Below are 23,919 nucleotides of genomic sequence, written 5' to 3'. Positions count from 1 at the left end.
TCTATACTTAAAGAGATTTACAAATAAGAAAAATAATATGAATAAAATTGATCTTTTAAACAGGCATTAGAGCAGGGTTTCTAGCCTTGGCATTATTGAGATTGTGTATTGGATAATACTTCCATGGGGTGGTAGGATCTCCTGTATATTGTAGGTTGCTTAGCAACATCTCTCTTCTCTGTACTATTAATAAATGTCAGTAGCACTTCGCCTGAAGTTGTGACAAAATACCTATAGACGTACCTAAATGGCACTGCCTAAGAGCCATTTTAGTTAATCCAGCCATTGTCTTTGAATGCTAAGTAAATGTAATGCTTATTTATGTATGAGTGATACCTTTTTCCTGAATTGAAATAGTAAACATTGAACAGACTCAAAGGCACTAAAATCAGAGGTTTATTTCTTGTTTCTGGGTGTTTTTTTACTTTTTGTTGCTTCTAAAACATTAGCTCCCATTGGATTTTTAGGAAGAGTTTTAAAACATCCTGTGGAAGCCATACGTAGATGCAGTCAAGGAAAGGAATTGGCTCCAAGAAAAGCCCTTTGTCTCTCTCTAACTTCAGGCAGCACTCTTGGTGTTAATGCCTTCTAGAAGTAGTGGTGCCTCATGCAATCTGCCTTCTGCCTAAGCTCCTTTGAGGAAAAGGAGGGATGAAAACACAGGGAGCAAACTCTCAGGAGCACTTTAAGACATAGCCCTGCTCATTAGCTTTAAATTGTTTTGTGGATTTTTCTGTTTACTTCACATTCCTTTGTGAAAATTTTAAAGGTAATATTTGTTTTGGCTCATGTTAGACCTCTGAACCATGATTCGATTAAACTGGGTGTTCAGTTTAGGATTTTATTGAAAAGAAATAGAGGTGCTGAACAAAATGTTTTCTTCTTTATCTAATGTTTCTGTAAAGGAGCATATAAATCTAAGCTGTAAAAGCCAAACTTGGATTCTGACTTGGGAAGAAAATACCTGTTGCCTATTTATGCCTTATTTTTCAGCAGGACTCTCATAAGAGCTCTTATTCTGCCTTGAAAGATTATACGTCTCCTTGTCTGCTTTAGGATGCAGAGGACCGTGTTTCAGGAAAATAAGGCTATTATACCAGAATGTGTGGAAGGTCCCTAGGCAACTTCTGGTTTTCACATCTGCATCTCCATGGCTGGCAGAATTAGTTATATTTAAATAGGGGAAGGAGAGGTGATGTCTTTTACAGTGGCTGTGAGAAGGCACTGGGCTTGTTTGGTGGAAGATCATGTATGGTTAATATTTTGGCTTAGGTGTTTGCTTCTTTTGCCTTTATTATTTCTTTATTTCAAACCCCAGGACATTTAATCCTGCAGACTATTCAGATTCTACATCTACAGATGTGTGTGGGACAAAGCTAGTAGTTTGGGAAGCTGCTCAGAATGGTGCAGATGAGGGAACTGGTAAGTGTTCTGTTTTTGCCAGAGATGAGTTTTAAATGTTTGAGCTATTAAGAGTTGTATGTTCTCATACAAAGATGAAGTCTAAATGTGCTGATGGAAAAGAATGAAAAACAGGCTACTGTCCTACCTCTGAAACTATTCTTAGTTGGTTCTTACCACCCAAAGTCTGTCACATACAAATCTCATGATGACAAGGAATTTGATTTTCCCTTCTGCAAGCTAAGAAAGAGGCTATATAAGGTAATTGGCATAAATCAGCACAAACCCACACTCTGATCAAAGTATGTCACAGATATATAGAATTTCTGAGGAGAAGATTTTTTACTGGAAGTACTTCCCATTTCTAATGGTGGATTCTTTGGCCAGATAATGTATGATAATGTGGTAGATGATAGATGGGTTTGTAGCAACGTTGCCTCTGCAGGTTTTTCTGTATCATGCTGTTTCTGGATTATTTATTTTCTGAAATTCTTGGGGTAAATATTGGTTATTTATATAGAGTTCTTTGTACAGTAATTATTGAGATTATACTTATAGAAACATAATTTAGCTGGGCGCGGTGGCTCACACCTGTAATCCCAGCACTTTGGGAGGCCGAGGCAGATGGATCACTTGAGGTCAGGAGTTCGAGACCAGCCTGGCCAACATGGTGAAACCCTGTCTCTACAAAAATACAAAAAATTAGCCGGGCATGGTGGCACATGCCTGTAATCCCAGCTACTCGGGAGGCTGAGACAGGAGAATCGCTTGAACCCAGGAGGTGGAGGTTGCAATGAGCCGAGATCGTGCCATTGCACTCCAGCCTGGGCAACAGAGCGAGACTTCATCTCAAACAATGACAACAAAAACGAAAAACAGAAACATAATTTAACACAATGAATTATAACCTAGACTTAGAATATAGCTCAATAAATTATCAAGGCCAGGTGCAGTGGTTCATGCCTGTAGTCTCAGCATTTAGGTGGCCAAGGCGGGAGGATCACTTGAGCCAGAGTTTGAGACGAGCCTGGTTAACATAGTAAGACCTCATCTATACTAAGAAAACTTAAAAAATTAGCATGGCATGGTGGTGTGCACCTGTGGTCCCAGCTGCTTGGGAGGCTGAAGTGGGGAGTGTCACTTGAGCCTGGCAGGTTGAGGATGCAGTGAGCTATGATTTTGCCACTGCACTCCAACCTGGGCAACAGAGCAAGGCGTGCCTGAAAAAAAAAAATAATGCACACAAACATCCATATAACATCAACCCTAGCCAAAAAATAAGAGAGTACCACCAGAAGCACGACTAACCAACTGTAAATAGAGAAACTGTAAAGAGGGTCAACAAAATTTATAAGTTGTTATTTGAAAACACTAGTAAAATCGTTAAGCTTCTTATGAGATCATCAAGGGAAGGTGAGAACGTGAATAATTGGTTCCAGGAAGGAGAAAAGGAATATTGATATGGATCATATAGATATTAGGAGATTATAAGATAACTCAGCTTGAGCTCAGGAGTTTGAGACCAGCCTGGGCAACATGGTGAAACTCCGTCTCTGCAAAAAAAAAATTAAAAAGTTAGCCGGGCATAGTATCATATGCCTGTGGTCTCAGCTACTTGGGATGCTGAGGTGGGAGGATCACTTGAACCTAGGAAGCATAGGTTGCAGTGAGCTGAGATCGTGCCACTGCACTTTAGCCTGGGTGACAGAGTGGGACTCTGTCTCAAAAAAAAAAAAAAAAAAAAAAAAAAGAATTATACACGGTATTTAAGTTTGCTTAACTGGTTTTTTTTGGGGGTGGGGGGGTGTTTGAGGTGGGGTCTCTGTCACCCAGGCTGGAGTGCAATGGCACGATCTTGGCTCACTGCAACCTCCACCTCCCAGGTTCAAGCGATTCTCTTGCTTCAGTGTCCTGAGTAGCTGGAATTACAGGTGTCCGGCACTATGCCTGGCTAACTTTTTCGTATTTTTAGTGGCAGGGTTTCACCATGTTGGCCAGGCTGGTCTTGAACTCCTGACCTCAAATGATCCACTCACCTTGGCCTCCCAAAGTGATGGGATTATAGGCGTAAGCCACCGTGCCCCACCTTCTTTTCTTTCTTTCTTTCTTTTTTTTTTTTTAAAGAGAGAGCATCTCACTCTGTTGTCCAGGCTGGAGTGCAGTAGTGTGATCATAGCTCACTGTAGCCTTGAACCATTGGGTTCAAGCCATCCCACCTTAATCTCCCTAGTACTTACTGCTGGAACTATGGCACACACCACTGCACTGGGTGAATTTTAAAGTTTTTTGTAGAGATAAGATTTTGCATTGTTGTGGAAGCTGGTCTTAAACTCCTGGCTTCAAAGATCCTCCCACCCAGCCAGTGCTAGGATTATTGACATGAGCCACCATGCCCAGCTTAGTTTGTTTAACTTTTAAAAAACAAGTCAAATCAACTCCTAGATGCATACCCAAAAGAAAGGAAAATATAGGTTCACATAAAATCTTGTACAAAAAGATTGATAGCAACATAATTCATCATTATAAAAAAGTAGAAACAACCCATACTTCCTGTTGAACAGGTCTGTCTGGGGGGAAAAAACCTCAAATGTTTATCAATGGATGAATGTATAAGCAAAATATAGAATATACATAGAATGGAATAATGTTCAGCCATAAAAAGGAATTAAGGTACATGCTACAACATGGATGAACCTTGAAAATAGTATGCAGAGTCACAGAAAGACCACATATATTGTATTTTATGATTTTATTTATCTGAAATGTCTAAGGCAAATTTATAGGGACAGAAATTAGCTTGGTGGTTGCCTAGAGATAGAACTATTTGGGAAAAGTGGTGAGTGACTACAAATGAGTATGGAGTTTGTTTTTGGAGTGATGAAAATGTTCTAGAATTAGAGGTGATGATTGCACAAATTGTGAATATACTAAAAATTATTCAACTGTCTGTTGTAAAAGGATAGATTTCATGTTATGTGTATTGTATATAAAAATATAGAAATTAGTATTATCCATTTAACAAAATTAAGGAGAAAAATCCGTATGATTATTTCAGTAAGGAAAAGTGTTCAATATTCGTTCATGATTAAAACAAACAGTGTTTCTGAGTGGCACGTGGGATTTGAGCCTGATAATGGCCCTTGATTCCACCAACATGGAGACTTTGTACCGCGTCCCATTAGTGCTCAAATGTCCCAACCTGAAGCTGAAGAAGCCGACCAGGCTGCACATGCCCTCGGCCATGACTATGTATGCCCTGGTGGTGGTGTCTTGCTTCCTCATCACCAGAGGAATAATTTATGATGTTATTGTTGAACCTCAAAGTGTTGGCTCTGTGACCGATGAACATGGGCATCAGAGGCCAGTAGCTTTCTTGGTGTACAGAGTAAATGGACAGTATATTATGGAAGGACTTGCATCCAGCTTCCTGTTTACAATGGAGGGTTTAGGTTTCATAATCCTGTACCAATCGAATGCACCAAATATCCCAAAACCCAGTAGATTTCTTCTTCTATTCATTGGATTTGTCTGTGTCCTGTTGAGTTTTTTTATGGCTAGAGTATTCATGAGAATGTAACTGCCGGGCAATCTGATAAGTTAGAGTGCCTTTTGAGAAGAAATCAATGGATACTGGATTTGTTCCTGTCAATGAAGTTTTAAAGGCTGTACCAATCCACTGTTGTGAAATGTGGAAAAGAATGAAGAGCAGCAGTAAAGAAATATGTAGTGAAAACACTGGAAGTGTAGCTTGGAGTAAAATTTCTTCTTGGTATCAAAGAGACAAGTTTATCACAGTATTTTTTCTCCTGCTGACCTATTGACATCAATGATGTTGAGTGACATTTTCTTCTTAGTTTTTCATTTTTTAAAGAAAATATACTCCAGTTTACAAATATAATATTGAATAAAGTGATTATTTTTTACAGCCCCTTTAACTTGTTTTTGGAGATGACATTTCTGATTTTCAGAAATTAATATAAAATCTGGAAGCAAGATTCCATAAATTGAGAATTCTAGATGGCTGATCAGCTTTACCTGTGGTGCTTTGCCTTTTAATAGGGAGTGTGATAATACATTATTTCAGATACGTATGTATGACTGTTTCCTGAACAATAAGATCTATGAAAGGAGCAGAAATAAATAATTTTTCTAATTAAAAACAAACAAAATCCTGGCAGTTAGGAATACAAGGAATTTCCTTAATCAGATAAGGAATATCTGTAAACTTTCAGCAGGTGTTACAGTCAATGGTGATATATTGAATGGTTTTCCTCTGGAACAAGATAAAAACACATGCGGTCACTGCTTCCATTCACACTGTACTGGAGGTCCTAGCCAGTGCAATAAAGAAAAAATAAGTAAGTCATAAGGATTGGAAAGGGAGAATAAACCGTTGTTTTTTGTGATTGTGTAAAAGAATCTGTAGACAAATTATTGGAGAGTTTCACAAGCACAAGATGCAAGACACAAGTTTCATGAAGGCATGTATTTCTATAAATCATCAACAAACAGAAAATGGAAAAAAATTGCTAATAGCTTCAGAAAACACCAGATGCCTAGGAATAAGTCTAATGATATGTAAGATATGTAAGATTAGAAAAAATATAAAACAATATTGAGAGAAAATAAAGAAGACAATAAATAGAGGGATATACCACTTTAATATATTTTAGTCCCACTGTTGTGACATTTAGTTTTTACTGACTCAGTCTTTGAATTTATTAATTCACGGTGGTCCGTCTCATGTAAATTTTCCCCACTGATTTTTAAAAAAAATTAGATTTGTTGATGTAGTTTTTATATGTATACACATATATTCTCCCCTTTTTAGAGGTACAGAGGATGAATTCTAACAAATGCATATAGAATTATAACCATCATTAAAATATAATTATGGTACTTCTTTACTAGCAGTGAACAATTGCAAACAAAGAATAAGAAAAACAGTACTTTTTTTAGTAGTACCAAAAAAACAAGAAATAGTTATTTCTGACTACGTATATGCAAGATTTGTATGTTAATATTATGCAACATGTTGGGAAAGATCAAAGAAGACCCTCATAAAAGGGAACATATTCAGTGTTCATGAATTAGAAGACTCAATATCTTTGAAATGTCATTTCTCTCCAAATTGATCGATAGCTTCAGCACAATTCCAATCAAAATCTTAGCAGATTTTTGACAACTTGATTCTTTTTTTTATTTTATTTTTTTTCGAGATGGAGTCTCACTCTGTCACACAGGCTGGAGTGCAGTGTTGCGATCTCAACTCACTGCAACCTCCATCTCCTGGGTGAGTGATCTCTTACCTCAGCCTCCCGAGTAGCTAGGATTACAGGTGTGCACCACCATGCCCAGCTAATTTTTTTTTTTTTTTTGTAGTTTTAGTAGAGACAGGGTTTCACCATGTTGGGCAGGTAAGTATTGAACTCTTGACCTCAAGTGATCTGCCCACCTCAGCCTCCCAAAGTGGTGAGATTACAGGTGTGAGCTATTGTGCCTGGCCTTGACAACTTGACTCTAAAATTTTTATATAATATTAAAGGAACTAAAGTAGCCTAAACAATTTTGAAAAGGAAAAAAAAGTTCTAAGACCCACACTCCCTGATTTTTTATTTTTTTGAGATGGAGTCTCGCTTCGTCAGTCAGGCTGGAGCGCAGTGGCACGATCTCTGCTCACTGCAGGCTCTGCCTCCCGGGTTCACGCCATTCTCCTGCCTCAGCCTCCCCAAGTGCCTGGGACTACAGGCACCCGCCACCACACCTGGCTAATTTTTTTGTATTTTTAGTAGAGACGGGGCTTCACTGTGTTAGCCAGGATGGTCTCCATCTCCTGACCTTGTGATCTACCCGCCTCGGCCTCTCAGAGTGCTGGGATTACAGGTGTGAGCCACCGCACCCGGCCCACACTCCCTGATTTTAAGAACTGCTCTAACACTGCAGTAAGCAAGACACATAAATCAATAGCATAGTAGTTTAGAAATAAACACATATACATATGGCTAATTGTTTTTTGTCAAAGATTATGAGGCAATTCAATGCCATACATTATACTGTATACAAAAATTACCCTCCAAGGTTACACTTAAACATGAAACCTGAAAGTACAACTTACAAAGAAGATATAGTGGCAAATCCTAGTGATTTTAGGTTAGGCAAAGATCTCTTATATAGAATCCGATAAGCCTGAGTCATAAAAGAGAAAATTGACAAAGTACATTTTATCAAAAATTGTAAAATTCTTCTGAAGAGAAAAATGAAATGATAGAATGAGACGTAGTCTTGGAGAAAATGTTTATATAAAATCCATATTTGATAAGGACTTATATACAAAATAAATAAAGAACTCTCACAATTCAGTAATAAGAAAACAACCCCCTAAAACAAATGAGCAATTAAAAATGGGGGGAAAAAATGGAAGAAGTTCTAGAAATGGATAGTAATGATTGTACAACATTGTGAATATACTCTGTGCCACTAAATTGTACACTTGGAGAGGGTCAGAAATGGTAAATTTTCTGTTTTAACACGGAGACTGGTGAAGGATAATTCCTGTGACTCTATAATTATTTTAAGATAAAAAGTTAATTAAAAGCAAAATATTTGCATTTATAAGGGAACATGATAAATGGATAGCAAACAAATCCGTGAGTGTGCTCATCATTATTAGTCATTGGAGAAATACAAAGTAAAGCCACATTGAGTTACCCCCATTCACCTATTAAAATGGCTTTAAAGGAAATGAAAAATTCCAAGTGCTGGTGAGGATTGTGGAATAACAGGTACTCATATACATGCCTGGTGGGAAAGCATACCTATCATACAATCTGACAATCCCATTCTTAGATTTTTATAAAAGTGGAATGAAAACACATCCAAACAAAAATCTGTATGTGATATTATAGTGCTTTTATTAATACCTCCACTGATGTTTTTTTTTCTTGCTTCTTTTTTTTTTAAGAGATGGGGGTCTCAATTTGTTGTCCAGGCTGGAGTGTAGTTGGTATTCACAGGCGTAATCTTAGTGCACTACAACCTCAAACTCCTGGGCTCAAGTGATCCTCCTGCATCACCTTCCTGTGTAGCTGGGACTACAGCCCTGCACCACTGTGCACAGCTTCCACACAGTGTGGAAGAACTGTGTGTGGAAGCTGTGCTGGCTTCCATGGCTTTGAAGCCGAATGTTGTGCAAGTGTTGAAGCAGAATGTTGAATTAGTCAATTAGTTACTTTTTTTAAAATTTTCTCTTTCCTCCTCTCTCTTTTCTTTCATCTCCTCCCACTTATTATTTAAAGTAGCAGATTTCTTGCTGAAAAGCATTTAGATAAGCAAAACCAATTTGTTGTAGAATACAGTTAAAGGATGTCAGCTGATGGTGCTGGCTGTTTTTCCAGAGGCCTCACAGAATGGTATTGGCTTGTTGATAAGAGAGTTATGAGTCCAGGACTCAGCCTTATAGGCTCAGAAACCCAACTGTTGACAGTATAATAACCACAAATCTATTCCTGATATGAGGGACCCTCAAATTAACCAAACTAGAAAGACTTGTGTATACTCAGAAGGCTAATTTATAAATTTTCTAAAAACTGGTACCTGTTGAACAGATTAGAATACTCTCTTTGATGAGTGAGAAGGGAGCTTGGTAAACATGGGCGTGAGAATGAGAATAATTGAAGTGATTTGAGTGTCCAAGAGCCATCAAGGATAAGATTCATAACTTGATTTGCAGTGACCTGTAAGAGTATGGATTTCAATTACATTTCACTATCCTTGGGCAGTAACGCAGCATATACATAGCTTTGACAGTGACCATCTTCTCTGTGATGAATACTTTCATTCTTTTCATATGTTTAAACCCTCAATTTTACATTGGTCCACAGAACTGGCATCAAATACTCACAACATAGCTCAGGATCTGTCAAACAAAAGTTCTTATGGACTCAAAGGTATGAATACTTAATTTTTTAATTTTTAAAATTAAGAATCTTATAAATTGCTTGCAATATCTTTCATTTTTTATCAAAGCTAGCTAATAAAAATTTATCAGATAAATGTTTGTAAACTATACCTATTTATTTGGTAATCAGATTTGCAGTTTGCTAATGGAAATGTTTTATTGATTGACTTTCAAGGTGCCACAGAATTTTCATCATTATTTTCCATGTTCCTAAGTGGCCTTAACATACATTCGTTAGAGGACTAACACCAAGTTAAATTGAACATAAAACATTCATCTCCAATATATTGTTTTAAGCTGAAAATAAGGATTGTTGAAGTTTTTCCGTTATATTTTGTGGTGTAGGTCTAATGACCAAATTAAAATTTTAATATTCCAAAATATGATTAGGACCTGAGCCTTTGCCTTCTGTATTTAATGTCTGGAATTTTTTATAGTCTGTGTGGGTATGGCTAGTTCCTGCAACAACGTGGCACTTGCTTCTCACATGGGAGTTTCCCCTGTAATTTCCTGACTTACCACTCTATCATGTTGCATCTCTGCTTATAACTATCTGTTTCGCTGTTTTTCCTTCAGGCTACATACATAGTGCCTTGTACTTGCTTTTAAATGTACTCAGATTCTCACCCTATTATGCAAGTCCAAAGTTGTGTTTAATTATTTTCAAAATACTGCTCTCAAAGTGGTAGGCCAGTCTTTTTTATTTTTATTATATTATTTTTATTTATTTTTTTTGAGATGGAGTTTTGCTCTTGTTGCCCAGGCTGGAGTGCAATGGTGCGATCTCGGCTCACTGCAACCTCCACCTCCTGGGTTTAAGCAATTCTCCTGCCTCAGCCTCCCAAGTAGCCGGGATTTACAGGTGTGAGGCACCACTCCTGACTAATTCTTTGTATTTTTAGTAGAGATGGGGTTTCACCATGTTGGCCAGGCTGATCTGAAACTCCTGACCTCAGGTGATCCACTCATCTCTGCCTCCCGAAATGCTGCAATTACAGGCATGAGCCACTGCTCCAGGCCCTATTTTTTAATTATTTATTTATTTATTTATTTATTTATTTATTTATTTTTGAGATAGAGTCTTGCTCTGTTGCCCAGGCTGGAGCAGTGGCATGATCTCAGCTCACTGCAACCTCCGCCTCCTGGGTTCAAACGATTCTCCTGCCTCAGCCTCCTCAGTAGCTGGGACTACAGGCACACGCCACCACGCCTGGCTAATTTTTGTAGTTTTAGTAGAGACGGGGTTTCATCATATTGACCAGGCTGGTCTTGAACTCCTGACCTCGTGATCCACCCACCTCGGCCTCCCAAAGTGCTGGGATTACAGGCATGAGCCACCATGCCCAGCCTTTTTTAAACTTTTAATATGTCTCCTGAATTGCCATGGTAGGCCATTCTTACTACATATCATGTATAAAAGTCTGTTTTAACTTACTACATTAACTGTACATATAGTGGCTGAGCTGTGCAATTTTAAAAATTAGAAAAAATAATGTATATTTTAAGCTTTAGAGTACTTTAATATTTTTTATGTAGGTTTTTGTAATGTTTCATCATTGTTTTTCTCCTGGAAATTTTCCTTTATATCCCTGTGTGTGTATGTTTATCTTCGCCATCAAGCTTTCTCTTACAATTCTGGCTTTCATTAACTTCATCCTCCAAATTTCCAGTGTATTAGTGGTTTCTCAGACAGAATTAAATGTTTTCGGTTTTGAAACATCTGTATTTTACATCCAAATATTGGCACAGTTTACATCACATTTCACAGAGAGCCACCCCAATCTGAAATCAGGTACATCCTGTTAAAAACATTCCATAAATAAGGACTCTTTTTCTAGGAAACAATCATCATTTTACTTATGAGGAGGTCAGTTATTTGGCTGTTTACGTGATTCTAAGGAAGGTAGACATGGTTACCTGACTTCTTTTGTCTCACAAGCATGCTCCTCCTCTTCCCTCTCCATACACAACTTTTGGAGAGAAATGGAATTTTGTTTGTCAGATGATTAACTCCTTTCTTCTTATGAAGGAACTGAAAACATCCATAATCCCTCTTTCTGGGGTTGTCGTTAATTTCTTAGTGTATTTCCTTTAAAACCATTATCTATGGGCATTTTTTTCATACATGCTGTAAACAATGGCCCTCTACTTATATAAGATCTGTAAGTAAGTATTTTTTGAGTAGCAACACTTTTGAAAGTACTTAGATGTGTTATGGATGAGTATTCTGTAAGAACTGTTTGAGCGCATCCTGTGTACTGACTCCAGAACTTAAAGCAGCAGACTTGATATGAGCAAGAGTAATGTTGAACTTTGCTGGAGACCTATTAGGAAGCCATGTAGTAGAGCTAATATTTTATTAAAAGGATGCTTCTCTAAATTTGATAATTCAGTAATCCACCTGAAATAGGGTCCAAGACAGATTTGCCTTAAAATGAAATTTGTTGTTTTGAAGACTATATCGGAAGAAATCAAACCATTGTTAAATGTCTATATTTGTGCTACATCCATACTTTTCTTACTCATGGCAGAATTGCTTGGATGTGACCTATATTGAAGCAAAATCCATTTGAAACACTGATTTGAGGTTATGTAGATAGTGACTACTAGTCAAGTTGCATTTGTAAACATTATTTCAAAGAGAAGGGGAGAAAAGAAATATTACTGATTTTACCGAGAATAGATTAAGAACGTCATGTTTCTTGGGTTGTAAACTAAATTGCTAGTGAGGCGTATGTATCTTTTTTCCCCGCATAGTACACAAAAAGGAATCATTTGGACTGAGACTGTATTTGACTTTGTGGTATAAACTTTGATTGCTGTTGTTTCCCAACAGGGGCTTGGAAGAATTCTGTGGAAGAGTGGACAACAGAAGACTGGACTGAAGATGTAAGTGTTTGCTGTCAGATGAGACCTTTCTTTTTTTTTTTTTTTGAAATGGAATTTCACTTTTGTTGCCCAGGCTGGAATGCAATGGCGTGATCTTGGCTCATTGCAACCTCTGCCTCCCAGATTCAAGCAGTTCTTCTGCCTCAGCCTCCCAAATAGCTGGGATTACAGATGTGCGCCACCATGCCTGGCTAATTTTGTATTTTTTTTTTAGTAGAGACGATGTTTCACCATTTTGGTCAGGGTGGTCTCAAACTCCTGACCTCAGGTGATACACCCGCCTCAACCTCCCAAAGTGCTGGGATTATAGGCGTGAGACACTGCGCCTGGCCGATACCTGTCTTTCTTTCGGTGTTTGGTGGGGACTTTGGTGCTTGGAAGAAAGAGCCTGAGACATCTTATCTCATCTTGGCTTCTTTTCTGGCATGTATCGTAGCCAGGGTTTTTGAGGGTTGGCTTTTTTAGCAGATGCTTCTTAAAAGGAACTTAGATTTTCAGATTTTTAAGAATATTTGTTTTTGTGCTTAAAAATGACCAATTGTCAAGATGATTGGGAGATTGGAAAAAAACAAACAAGAAAAAAGGTTGAGGTGTTAGGCTGGGCGTAGTGACTCACAACAGCACTCTGAGAAGCTAAGGTAGGAGGATCACTTGAAGCCAGGAATATGAGAACTGCCTGAGTAACAAAGTGAGACCCCTGTCTCTACAAAAAAAAAAATAATAAAAAAATTACCTGGGTGTGGGGTTGTGCATCTGTAGTCTCAGCTACTCAGGAGGCTAAGGCAGGAGGATCTCTTGAGCCCAGGAGTTCAAGGCTGCATTATCATTCGACCGCCCTCTAGCCTGGGTGACAGAGCAAGAATCCATCTTAAAGCAAACAAACAAAATTTACCAGGTGTTAAGTAGGATTGATTTTTTTTTTAAGCTTATCTGTGTTTTGTTTGACCTGATAGCCAGCTGACACTGTTGCCCAGATTTGTGAACTATTATTCTTTAGAATATTTTCATTAAAGGGGAGTCTGTATTTTGGATCACAGTTGAAATTAACCTGAATAAGTTTGCTCTGGTTCCATGCCCAACCTCTTCCCCTTTTGACTAGAAGAACCTTTTTTTAAAAAAAATTCCTTTATTGCACAGATATTTTTGAGCATGTTACACTAGCTTCTGGGTACTGTCAGTCTATAAGTTCTGCTTTCAGCATAGTATTTTTTTTGGAAAAATAAGTTAAATAATAAAGAGAAAAAAGGGATAAATAACCCAATACCATAAAATTTTATACCTCTTTTCTGTTTGACTGTCAAGTTCTAGAACTCTTGAGTTTGGTATCTGTCTGACACAGAGTTTGAGCAGACATTGAGAGGGAAATAATAAATGGGTTACAAATACAGATCCTCAAAACTATATACAATGACGCACACTTTGAGATTCTGTCTTTTTCTCTGTCTCCATATGTGTTTCCATTTATGCTAACAGGACCTGCTTTGAATGAGAAACAAGAAACATGATTTCTACTTGACTTGTTTAATGACCTTAGGCAGGGCGTTGTTCCTTGGGTCTTACTACTCCTTCACACACAGTATTATTTGGGTTTTAAGTGGTGTTTGAACAACCCACTACCATAGATAGATTCATTTTACCTTGTAAAAAATAAGTACTTTAATTTTTTTTTTTTTGAGACAGGGCCTTGCTCTCGCTCTGTCACCAGGCTGGAGTGCAGAGGCACGATCTTGGCTCACTGCAGCCTCCGCCTCTGGGTTCAAGTGATTCTCCTGCCCCAGCCACCTGAGTAGCTGGAATTATAGATGCACGCCACCATGCCTGGCCAATGTTTGTATTTTTAGTAGAGACGGGGTTTCACCATGTTGGCCAGGCTGGTCTCGAATTCCTAACCTCAGGTGATCTGTCCGACTTGGCTTCTCAAAGGTCTGGGATTACAGGCATGAGCCACTGCGCCCGGCCTTTTTTTAATTTTAGAGACTAGGTCTTGCACTGTTGGCCAGCTCACTCCAGCCCCAAACTCCTGTGCTCAAGGGATCCTCTTGCCTCAGCCTCCAAGTAGTTGAGATTACAGGTGCGTGCCGTCATGCCTGGCCCTTCCTTTAAAAAAAAAAAAAAAAAAGGCCGGGCACAGTGGCTCATGCCTGTAATCCAGCATTTTGGGAGGCTGCGGTGGGCGGATCACCTGAGGTCAGGAGTTCAAGACAAGCCTGGCCAACGTGGTGAAACCGTGTCTCTACTAAAAATACAAAAATTAGCCAGGTGGGATGGTGGGCACCTGTAATTCCAATTACTTGGGAGACTGAGGCAGGAGAATCACTTGAACCCGGGAGGCACTTGCAGTGAGACAAGATCACACCATTGCACTCCAGCCTGGGCAGCAAGAATGAAACTCCATCTCAAAAAAAAAAGGGGGTGGGGAACCATTCAGTGTTTTATTATCATGTTTAGATATGTCAATGTTTATAGTAGTTCTCATTTATTTTTTCTCTTTTTCGTAAATCGATTTAATTTGTAAGTTTCAGGCAAAAATGGATTCACTGGGAATATTAAAATATACTACCTTGGGGCAGGCACAGTGGCTCATGCCTGTAACCCTAGCACTTTGGGAGGCTGAGGCAGGAGGATCGCTTGAGCCCAAGAGATCAAGTGCAGCCTGGGCAACATAGGGAGGCCCTGTCTCTACAAAAAATTTTTAAAATAGCTGTGTGTGATGGCAGGTGCCTGTAGTCCCAGCTACTTAGGAAGTAGAGGTGGGAGGAATGCTTGAGCCTGGGAGGTTGAGTTTGTAGCTGCAGTGAGCCTCAGTGATCATGTCACTGCATTCTTGCCTGGGTGACAGACTAAGGTCTGTCTCCCAAAAAAGAAAAAAAAACCCTTCCCACACACCCTGTTTTGGAATAGGATGCAACTTAGGCCCTTCTTGTTGACTTGTTGAACCGGTAAACAATTTAGCACTTTTATATTGTTGAAGAAAATGAACACCTACTGTCTCCTCTACCTCCTGCTTACACATAGTATGTCATGCAGGAAGTCTGGTTTTATACAGTGTTTCTGAGACATTTAGAGTTGATAAGAATTATGGGAACATTTTGAGTAGCATTTTTATGTTTTCCGTGTTACCTCATTAGATCAACATTTTCCAGCCTTTCAAAGCCGAGTCCCCACATTGAAAACATAAAAAGAATATGTATCTTTTATTAATGTCAGTTGAGGTTTCAAAAAATTTATCCTGAATGCCCTAAAAGTGAGTTAAAACAGTGTGCATATATCCCAAAATAATTATGCTGAGTGAAAGAAGCCAGGAATAAAGGTTTGGATACTTTTATGATTTCATTTAAAATTCTAGAAAATGCAGCCTAATCTGTAGTGTCAGAAAGCATGTGAGTGGTTGCCTGGGGATGCAGACAAGTTGTGGGATTGAGTGATTCCACAGGGACAGGTGGAAATTGTGGGGGAGTAAAGAATATGTTCACCGTCCTAATTGTGGTGATGGTTTCATGGGGGCCTATGTATGCCAGACTTATTCAGTTATTTGGTTTGAATATTTGCGGTTTATTGGATGTGTTAGAATGTGATAAAATTAATTTTTTAAAAATAATAGAAACTCATGGTTTAATAAAAATGAAATGTAAAATTACTGATCAATTAAGTACTAAAGACATCTGTCTTTGGGGGGAGAAAACATCGATTATTTCACCTTTACAAACTTCTTAATGACTTCTTCTTTTTTTTTTTTTGAGGCAGGATCTCACTTTGTCCCCTAGGCTGGAGTGCAGTGGTGTGATCATGGCTCACGGCAGCCTCAACCTCTGGACTGAAGCGATTCTCCTGCCTCAGCCTCCCATGTAGCTGGGACAGGTGCACACCACCACGACCAGCCAATTTTTTTTTTTTTCCTAGAGATGAAGCCTTACTTCTGGCCTCAAGCAATCCTCCTGCCTCGGCTGCCCAGAGTGTTGGGCTTTCAGGTGTGAGCCACCATTCCTGGCCACCTTCTCAACTTCTTTTTGGCATTTCTGTTAGCATTGTTGGTGGGTTTATTGGTATTCTCATTTTGTGTAATGACAAATAGAGAAGTGAGTCTGCGGTTGAGCCCTGGTTTGAGTGTTTCACTGTGTTGTTTACCATTAGTCTCATCATTTTCCTGATTTGAAGTCATTCTTGTAGGCCTTTCAATCTAAAATTACCTTCACTTGCAGCCGGGCGCCATGGCTTATACTTGTAATCCCAACACTTTGGGAGGTCAAGGTGGGTGCATCACTTGAGGCCAGGAATTGGAGATTATCCTGGGCAACATGGCAAAACCCTGTTTCTACTAAAAATACAAAAATTAGCTCGGTGTGGTGGCGCATGCTGGTGCGTGCCTGGAGGCCCAGCTACTCAGGAGGCTGAGGCGAGATGATCGCTTGAACCCAGGAGGCACAGATTGCAGTGAGCCGAGATCACGTCACTGCACTCCTTCCTGGGCAACAGCGCCAGACCCTGTCTCAAAAAAAAAAAAAAAAAAATTGCATTCACTTGAAAATTACTTGTCATGGTCACTTGTATATTTCATTTTCTTTAGAATAGCTGTTATGCGAAGTGTAAGAGACTACTGATGACTACAAATGATCAGGAAGTCAGTGTTTTGGGTTTAGTAGTATGTAGAATAAGATTAAATTTTTCAACTTTCCATACAGCTTTCTGAAACAAAGGTCTTCACTGCCTCATCTGCTCCAGCAGAGAATCACATCTTACCTGGGCAAAGGTAAATACTTTTTGCCATCTTATATTTGTTATTCAAAGCATTACAGAAATCTTTTGCCTCAGGAAAAGTATTTTCATTTTTGGGTCTCTTTCTATTTTTTCCCTTTTTATCCAAGGCTAACTTTTATTTTACCACTACTTGGTAAATCTGACAGAGCTTCAATCATTTTCTAATTGATGTATCCACTGATGAATTTGTTAGCAGTTGTTGCAGACATCATGTTAAACTTTTTTTTTTTTTTTTTCTATTTTGAGACGTAGTTTTGCTCTTGTTGCCCAGGCTAGAGTGCAGTGGCGCTATCTCGGCTCACTGCAACCTCCGCCTCTCGGGTTCAAGTGATTCTCCTGCCTCAAGCCTCCCAGGTAGCTGGGATTACAGGCATGCGCCCCCACGCCCAGCTAATTTTGTATTTTTAGTAGAGACAGTTTTTCCATGTTGGTCAGGCTGGTCTCGAATTCCCAACCTCAGGTGATCCGCCCACCTCAGCCTCCGAAAGTGCTGGGATTACAGATGTGAGCCACCACACCTGGCCCTTTTTTTTGTTTTGTTTTGTTTTTTTGAGACGGAGTCTCACTCTGTCGCCTAGGCTGGAGTGCAGTGGCACGATCTCGGCTCACTGCAACCCCCGCCGTCCTGAGTTCAAGTGATTCTTCTGCCTCAGCCTCCCAAGTAGCTGGGACTACAGGCGCCTGCCACCACGCCCGGCTAATTTTTGTATTTTTAGTGGAGACGGGGTTTCACCATATTGGCTAGGCTGGTCTCGAAATCCTGACCTCGTGATCCGCCAGCCTCGGCCTCCTAAAGTGCTGGGATTACAGGTGTGAGCCACCGCGCCTGGCCTAAACTTTTTTAATGGTTGCTATTTTCACTTTTGTAGACCTGTTTTTTTTTTTTTTTGACAGAATGAACTTAATACATTGTATTCTTTGGTTTCTTCATGTACCATTTATTTAGATCTTCTGAAACTAATACAGATCTCTTATTTTATTTGAGTTCTACTAGTTTTACTCTGCTAGATTACAGAAAAGGAAGGAACTTATGGGATAACCACATTCTTAGAATGTACACTGAAACAAATGACTGAAGAGCATTTATTTATATTCTAGTTTTCACACTAAACACCTTTGAAAGTGGTTTCAAAGTGTAGTGATCTGGAAAGATAAAAGACTGGTTACATATGATACCTTAGAAATGAAGGCAGTTTTGAACCTAACAGGATCAATCTCATGCTAAATGAGATGGTGATGAGATTTCATTGTAGGGAAATAAAAATGATTAATGATTATGTCTTATAGTATATTGTTTTGAGATTGTTTGGAGTTTGTTGTTAAATGCACATATTCTCTATTGTATTTATGATTCAGTGAATTTACTGGGATCATTGTCATGAAATTCAACTTGGCTATAGTCTATAAGGGAGAGGAACTCAGGCTAGGAACTTTGCCATGTGTCAGGAATGAGTCTTGAATTGTCCTGTAATCTGCCTGTCTTATTGGCATGGTGAGAATGTCAGTTAGGAGAACTGATGGGAACTGGCCTTTGAAAGGATTCAATGGCATTCATTACAAGGTTAGGTAATACGGTGCATCTGGCAGGTCCTACTACACTAGGTAAGTTTAGAAAAGAGTTGGTACAGGAAGTTTGTAGCTCATTGTTGTCAGGTAGTCCAAATTGGAATATCTGTCTGGGGGGTGTTTTAAGAGTTCTGGTTAACAGTATATTTGTTATTATACTGTGCATTTATTCCTGAATATTTTAAAGATAAAATTATATGGGCGTGTGTGTGTGTGTGTGTGTGTGTGTGTGTGTATATACACACACTTAAATGTATTATGGGATAGAATGTAAAAATTTAAGATAAATATGAAACTTGGCCAGGTAGGGTGGCTCACGCCTGTAATTCCAGCACTTTGGGAGGCCAAAGCAGGCAGCTCACTTGAGAGCAGGAGTTTGAGACCAGCCTGTCCAACATGGTGAAACCCTGTCTCTACTAAAAATACAAAAATTAGCTGGGCATGGTGGCACACGCCTGTAATCCCAGCTACTCGGGAGGCTGAGGCACGAGAATCGCTTAAGCCTGGGAGGCAGAGGTTGCAGTGAGCCAGGGTCACACCACTGCATTCCAGCCTTGGTAAGAGAGTGAGACACTGTCTTAGAAAAAAAAAAAAAGTGAAACTTATTGAATTGCTTACTGCAGGTGAGGTCTTCATTCCCTAGAAATATGGATTTATTAGGAACTCTGGTTTTAGGTAATAAATGGGTAAAATATTCTAGGTAAAATGAACCAAACTTGAGAAAATTGTTTAATTTTACTTTATTGCTCCAGGTTTTCAAATCAGTTTATAATGTGTTAGTCATTACTTTGAAAATTTCTCAATACACCTTTTGATTCTCTTCTCTGCAAAACCCTGCTTCAGTCTCTGTGGCTTGGTATGTTCTTTTGTGTGGATGATGCCCTCCTTTTGCCCCCTTAAACCCCATTTTCCAAAGGTTCTCCTCATTTGATTTTTAATGTAAATTCACTATATATTGATTGACTTCTCACATTCATTTGTTGGTAAGATTTGCTTATGACTGGTTCCTCATTGCTTTTTGTCTGCTTAGCATTGATCTGGTAGCCTTGCTCCAGAAGCCTGTTCCTCACAGTCAAGCCTCAGAAGCCAACTCCTTTGAAACTTCCCAACAGCAGGGCTTTGGCCAAGCCCTTGTCTTCACAAATTCGCAACACAACAATCAGATGGCACCAGGGACTGGCAGCTCCACTGCCGTCAACTCCTGTTCTCCTCAGAGCCTGGTAACTCACTTTTATTTCAGTGTGGGATTTTAAGAAATATACCCATTAGCAAATGTATTCTAGAATATGATACATGCTTTATAATTACTTTCTAAATATAAAAATATCTACAGTAAGGCCGGGCATGATGGCTCATGCCTGTAATCCCAGCACTTTGGGAGCTGGGGCATGAGGATTACTTGAACCCAGGAGTTTGAAACCAGACTGGGCAAAACTCTGTCTCTACGAAAAAAGCAAACTAACAAAAATTAGCTGAGTGTGGTGTTGTGTGCCTGTAGTCTCAGTTACTTGGGAGGCTGAGGTTGGAGGGTCACTTGTGCCCAGGAGTTTGAGGTTGCAGTGAGCCATGATCATGCCTCTGTACTCCAGGCTGGGTGACAGAGCGAGACCCTGTCTCTAAAACAAAACATCAAAAAATTCTACAGTAGATCTTAGTCCAGAAAACAATGATGTGGTAATTTCCAAGCACATATCTGATGATTCCATGTGGAATTTAACTACCTGAGTTTCCTGGACAAAGATAAAAATTTTTTTATGGTTTGTCAAATTCTTTGAACTGATGATCACTCTTGAGATTGAAAGTACCCCTTTCTTCTGAATGATGTTTTCCTTGTGTTTTGTTTCATATTATGTCTCTATAGTTAGTATATTCAATTTCTTGTTTTCCAATTAAATGCGAAAGTTTATCAGAATTGACTTGCTATAAAATCATGTAAAAACAGTCTGAGTCTGCCTAGGCGCTTACATTTTTTGCTTTTTTTTCCCCCTAAGACCGTAAAATAAGCTACATTTTCTTAAAATGCCAAATGATTAACAGAGGCCCTTATAGTTTGGATGTGTTTTTATTGAAACAGTGTCATTTAGTACTGTATGACTGACTTCCAATGTGTGTTAAGCTCCCATCCAGAAGGAACTTCAGAAACTGTTAGTGAAGGCTGTGAAGATAGGCTTATGGAAGTATAAGCTTAGATCATAGCTTATACAAGAATGTTGCTTTAGAATGGTGAACTGAAGTTCCTACCCAACTACAGGAAGTTCTGAGCTGGCAAGGGGAAGTTAGAAAGGTCTATGGATGCAGAACTACAGCTCTTACTAGGGATAATTATTTTAGTTTGTTGCTGTGTTTTTCCTGAAATTTATTGCTGAGAAACAGAATTTTCTCCCGAGTCAAATCGTTTGTTTTACCCTGATAAAATTGAGAATTGAATATTTAAACTTTTCCTTAGTATTTTCTACTCTGTGTAGCCATATCATGTGTTGGGCTTGGGGACTTGGTGTTTTTAGTATCATTGGTATATGAGGTGGTGTCAGTGCTTGAAGTAGAACAGCCCAAGGCTTCTCTATTTTGAGAAGGCCTAATAAAAACCCTGATTTTTAATTGACGCACCAGAGTCTTTTCCTCCTCCGCCTTTCCCTCTGCTACTGGTATAATTATGTAATGCCCTTGCTGAAATCTATGTGTGTCCACTGAATTGATAAGAAGGACTTGAGTTTTTACAGCAATCTTCAGATATGTTGCTTTATGTAGTGACCAGCATGAGAATGACCAACATGAGAAGGCAGAATAAGAATTGTTTGTGTGGCGTTGTATTAGAGCAGTGGTTCTCGACCCTACTCTAATCTTTAAAAATCACTGGGAGCTGGGCGCGGTGGCTCACACCTGTTATTCCAGCACTTTGGGAGGCCGAGGTGGGTGGATCACCTGAGGTCAGGAGTTTGAGACCAGCCTGGCCAATGTGGTAAAACCCCATCTCTACTAAAAATACAAAAATTAGCCAGGCGTAGTGGTGGGCGCCTATAATCCCAGCTTCTTGGGAGGCTGAGTCAAGAGAATCACTTGAACCCGGGAGGTGGAGGTTGCAGCGAGCCGTGATCATGCCATTGCACTCCAGCCTGGGCGACGAGAGAAACTCTATCTCAAAAAAAAAAAAAAAAAAAAAAAAAAAAAAAAATCATTGGGGAGGCCAGGCATGGCATGGTGGCTCATCCCTGTAAATCCCAGAACTTTGGGAGGCTGAGGCTGGAAGATTATGAGATGCCAGGAATTTGAGACCAGTCTGGCAACATAGCGAGGCCTCATCTTGCTAAAATAAAATAAGCTGGTTGTCATGGCACATGCCCTGTAATCATAGCTACTGTAATCCCAGCTACTTGAGAGGCTGGCATGGGAGGATCACTTGAGCCCAGGAGGTTGTTCTGTGGCCCTCCAGCCTGGGTTGACAGCAATACCTTGTCTCCAAATAATAATTAATAATGAACCTAGTAAATAACAGCAGCAACAGAAGTGATGATGATATTTCCCAAGTCTCTAAAACAAAACATGTCCTCATCTTTGGGATTGGGATTTGGGCACTGTGTGTGTTTGTGTGTATGTGCATGTATGCACATGTGTGTATTGTATACATTTTAAAAGTCTCTCCATTGATTTAAATGTGTAGGTGGACTTAAGAGGCCTATGCTGTGTATTACCTAGGACATGGCAGTAGTCATTGATTCAGTGATTTCGCTGTGTTGTAAAGCACATAGTGCATTTGATAAAACTAGCTGATGCATGTTAGGGATTATGTAGGATAACAGGATGAAGAGAGTCATCACCTGGGAAGCCTTCATTAAATCAGTGGGCTTGAGCTGGATTTTTGCAAATTGGTAGCAACCTCAGACCAGTGTATTGGGCAACCTGAAAAAAGAATCTGGAGCAGTGATAAGTAATGTTAGCACAACTGTTTCAGTATGAGCAATCTCTGTCACAGCTGTCCATAACCTAATGTTTTACTCAAAGCGAAGTTAGGATTTCCATCCAAGTGGGACATTCCTTGTCTTTGAATGTTGATAATAGAAGTAATTGTTTCAACTTACTTGAGGGAAGGCAAAGTATTTGTTTTTGACCTTAAATGGATATGAAATGTTATTTTTGGGCCAGGCACGGTGGCTCATGCCTGTAATCCCAGCACTTTGGGAGGCTGAGGCAGGTGGATCACAAGGTCAGGAGATGGAAACCATCCTGGCTAACATGGTGAAACCCCGTCTCTACTAAAAATACAACAACAACAAAAAAGCCGGGCGTGGTGGTGGGCGCCTGTAGTCCCAGCTACTCGGGAGGCTGAGGCAGGAGAATGGAGTGAACCTGGGAGGCGGAGCTTGCAGTGAGCCGAGATCGCGCCACTGCACTCCAGCCTGGGTGACAGAGCGAGACTGTCTCAAAAAAGAAAAAAGAAAAGAAAAGAAATGTTATTTTTGATGAAGAACTTATATTTCAGAATGATCTTGATATGTAAAAATGTAGTTGATCTTCCATTGTCTTTTCTAGTCATAGGCTTTCATTCTCTTTGGATCTCGACCTGACAGGACAGATGGGGCAGGAGTAACATTGTTTTTCCTGTACTTATTTATGGAACGTATTTGGTGTTCTTAGTCATCTAAACAACTTGAAATGAAAATAGCAGTGTCTATGGTATTTGCTCAACTTCAAATACCTATGTATCGCAGTGTCTCATTTTGGAATAGTAACCACTGAAGTTCAGTTCTTTGACCTGTATTTGATCTTGTGCGTGTGTGCGCGTGCATGCGCGCACACACACATGAGAGACGAGTCTAAGCTCTGTCACCCAGGCTGGAGTGCAGTGGTGCGATCTCACCTTACTGCAACCTCCACTTCCTGGGTTCAAGCGATTCTCCTGTCTCAGCCTCTGGAGTAGCTGGGATTGCAGGCGTTCACCACCATCCCTGGCTAATTTTTGTATTTTTAGTAGAGACGGGGTTTCACCACGTTGGCCAGGCTGGTCTCTAACTCCTGACCTCAGGTGATCCACCCACCTCGGCTTCCCAAAGTGCTGGGGTTACAGGTGTGAGCCACTGCGCCCAGCCTGACCTGTATTTGATCTTGCAGGGTCATCTCACACTGATCTCTTCTTTGACTGTACATCTTGTAATCATTAAAGATGAAGACTGTGGTTCACAGACTAGGAAAATAATGTGTTTTTGTTGGTCAAGCATATCTTTGTCATGTATTTCATGGCATTCCTCTTTAGTTTTTTTAAATAGTGATATTTAATTGTGAACTTATGACATCACTTTTTATTATTTTATTTTATTTTTATTTATTTATTTATTTATTTTTTGAGATGGAGTCTT

The 23,919-nt window shown here is 39.5% G+C and overlaps 1 protein-coding gene, 1 non-coding gene and 1 pseudogene across 10 annotated transcripts in view; all 3 read left to right on the top strand.

Moving 5' to 3' along the window:
* UBAP2 (ubiquitin associated protein 2) overlaps window positions 1–23,919 on the top strand; it is a 127,507-nt gene that overhangs the window by 76,127 nt on the left and 27,461 nt on the right. For 5 of the 9 annotated variants that reach the window (NM_001370059.2, NM_018449.4, NM_001370068.2 and 2 more), the window contains 5 exons: window positions 1,319–1,422; window positions 9,282–9,347; window positions 12,195–12,247; window positions 16,927–16,994; window positions 19,599–19,788. In NM_001370059.2, coding sequence (NP_001356988.2) covers window positions 1,319–1,422; window positions 9,282–9,347; window positions 12,195–12,247; window positions 16,927–16,994; window positions 19,599–19,788 — 481 coding nt within the window. The remainder of the gene's footprint in view (window positions 1–1,318; window positions 1,423–9,281; window positions 9,348–12,194; window positions 12,248–16,926; window positions 16,995–19,598; window positions 19,789–23,919) is intronic. The other 4 variants (NM_020867.2, NM_001370067.2, NM_001370064.2 and 1 more) reach the window with 2 other exon arrangements.
* Window positions 4,500–5,196, top strand: OSTCP8 (oligosaccharyltransferase complex subunit pseudogene 8; annotated as a pseudogene).
* Window positions 20,219–20,309, top strand: SNORD121A (small nucleolar RNA, C/D box 121A). The gene has a single exon (NR_003685.1). It is a non-coding gene; the product is annotated as a small nucleolar RNA, C/D box 121A (small nucleolar RNA).

The sequence above is a fragment of the Homo sapiens genome, chromosome 9 (assembly GCF_000001405.40).
Source record: "Homo sapiens chromosome 9, GRCh38.p14 Primary Assembly".
Lineage (NCBI taxonomy): Eukaryota > Metazoa > Chordata > Mammalia > Primates > Hominidae > Homo > Homo sapiens.
Note: the sequence above shows the minus strand (reverse complement) of the source record. Positions and strands in the feature narration are given on the sequence as shown.